Source organism: Homo sapiens, chromosome 6 (genome assembly GCF_000001405.40).
Source record: "Homo sapiens chromosome 6, GRCh38.p14 Primary Assembly".
Lineage (NCBI taxonomy): Eukaryota > Metazoa > Chordata > Mammalia > Primates > Hominidae > Homo > Homo sapiens.
In genome coordinates, this window is record NC_000006.12 from 126614189 (window position 1) to 126616597 (window position 2409).

A 2409-nucleotide genomic window follows, 5' to 3' on the forward strand; every position below is an offset into this window, starting at 1 on the left:
ATTTATCCACCTTTGGTCTTTGATGTTGGTGACCTTTGGATGGGGTTTTTGCATGGACTTTTTTTTTTTTGATATTGATGCTATTCCTTTTGTTTGTTAGTTTTCCTTCTAACAGTCCGGCCCCTCTGCTACAGGTCTGCTGGAGTTTGCTGGAGGTCCACTCCAGACCCTGTTTGCCTGGGTATCACCAGCAGAGGCTGCAGAACAGCAAAGATTGCTACCTGTTCTTTCCTCTGGAAGCTTCATCCCAGAGGGGCACCCACCAGATGCTACCTTTATGAGGTGTCTGTTGACCCCTGCTGGGGGGTGTCTCCCAGTCAGGAGGCACGGGGTTCAGGGACCCACTTGTGGAGGCAGTCTGTCCCTTGGTAGAGCTTCAGCACTGTGCTGGGAGATCTGCTGCTCTCTTCAGAGCCAGCAAGCAGGACCATTTAAGTCTGCTGAAGCTGTGCCCACAGCTGCCCCTTCCCCCAGGTGCTCTGTCCCAGAAAGATGGGAGTTTTATCTATAAGCCCCTGACTGTGGCCGCTGGCTTTCTTTCAGAGATGCACTCCCCAGAGAAGAGAAATCTAGAGAGGTAGTCTGGTTACAGCAGCTTTGTGGAGCTGCAGTTAGCTCCGCCCAGTTCGAACTTCCTGGAGGCTTTGTTTACACTGTGAGGGGAAAACCACCTATTCAAGGCTCAGTAATGGTGGATGCCCCTCCTCCTACCAAGCTGTAGCATCCCAGGTTGACTTCAGCCTGCTGTGCTGGGATTGAGAATTCCAAGCCAGTGGATCTGAGCTTGCTGGGCTCCATGGGGGTGGAATTCACTGAGCTAGATCACTTGGCTCCCTGGCTTCAGCCCACTTACCAGGTAAGTGTACAGTTCTGTCTCGTTTGCATTTGAGGCACTACTGTATTATGAAAAAAAAAAAAAACTCCTGCAGCTAGCTTGGTGTCTGCCCAAACAGCCCCCTAGTTTTGTGCTTGTAACCCAGGGCCCTGGTCATGTAGGCACCCAAGGGAATCTCCTGGTCTGCAGGTTGCAAAGACCATGGGAAAAGCATAGTATCTGAGCCAGAATGCACAGTTCCTCATGGCACAGTTCCTCATGGCACAGTTCCTCACGGCACAGTACCTCATGGCTTCCCTTGGCTAGGGGAGGGAGTTCCCTGACCTTTTGCACTTTCTGGGTAAGGCAAGGCCCCACCCTGCTTTGATGCTCCCTCCATGGGCTGCACCCACTGTCTAACCAGTCCCAATGAGATGAGCCAGGTACCTCAATTTGAAATGCAGAAATCACCCGCCTTCCACCTTGATCTCTCTGGGAGCTGCAGACCAGAGTTGTTCCTATTCGGCCATCTTGCCAGCCACCCTGATTTGCAATTCTCTGATGACTAATAATCACGAGCTTTTTTTCATCATGATGATGATGATGATGATGATTTTTTTGCTGCTTGTATGTCTGGATGTCTTCTTTTGAGAGGTGTGTGTTCATGTTTTTTGCCCATTTTTTAAGACACATAACCTTTATGGGACAGAATAGGGAACCCATAAAAAAAACTGCACACCTACAACCATCTAATCTTCAACAAAGCTGACAAAAATAAGCAATGGGGAAACTGCTTCCTATTCAGTAAGTAGTGCTAGGACAACTGGCTAGTCATATGCAGAAGATTGAAACTAGACCCTTACCTTTCATCATATACAAAAATTAACTCAAAATGCATTAAATATTTAAATATATGACTTCAAACTATAAAAATCCCAGAAGAAAACCTTGTCAAAATCAGCATAAAATTCATCAGCAAAAATTTTTGGCTAAGTCCTCAAAAGCAATTGCAACAAAAGCAAAAATTGACAAGTGGGTCCTAATTAAACTAAAGTGTTTCTGTGTAACAAAAGCAACTATCAGCAGAGTAAACAGACAACCTATAGAATGGGAGAAGATGTTCACAAAGTATATACTCAGCAAAAGTCTAATATCTAGAGGCTATAAGGAACTTAAATCAAAAAGCAAAAAATGAATTTTCATTTCCACATCCTGGCAGGGAATACAGAAGCAGGGATGACATCTCTGGCCATAGTGAGCAGCATTAATATTTTTTAGCATCTAAAGGAGGATGTTAGACTGCATGTAAATCAAGTGATAAAGCTGCACTAAAGATGAATTTTGAACAGGTTCACAAACAAGAATCAAAGTTGAAGGCTCACTCTAAATAAGTGACTGTATTGCTGCAACCTCATGTGGTACATAGAAGAACTTTAGCCAAGGCTTGGAAAAGAGAAATACAGCTGGAACCAGAAGAAAGATTATTCCATTAGCATGTCTGTAAAATTTTTTCACAAGGTTTATGTTGAAAAGAAACTCTAAACTTAGGTTAGAACACTACTGTATTGTTTTTAGGGATTATTTGTTGTTTATTT

The 2409-nt window shown here is 44.2% G+C and overlaps 1 annotated feature.

Annotated features, from left to right (window-relative positions):
- Positions 440-1046: an enhancer, noted in NCBI's record as "NANOG-H3K27ac hESC enhancer chr6:126935774-126936380 (GRCh37/hg19 assembly coordinates)". NCBI's record gives its function as "activates a minimal SCP1, AML or CMV promoter by ChIP-STARR-seq in naive H9 embryonic stem cells {active_cell/tissue: H9 hESC(naive)}" and the evidence as "EXISTENCE:reporter gene assay evidence [ECO:0000049][PMID:30033119]".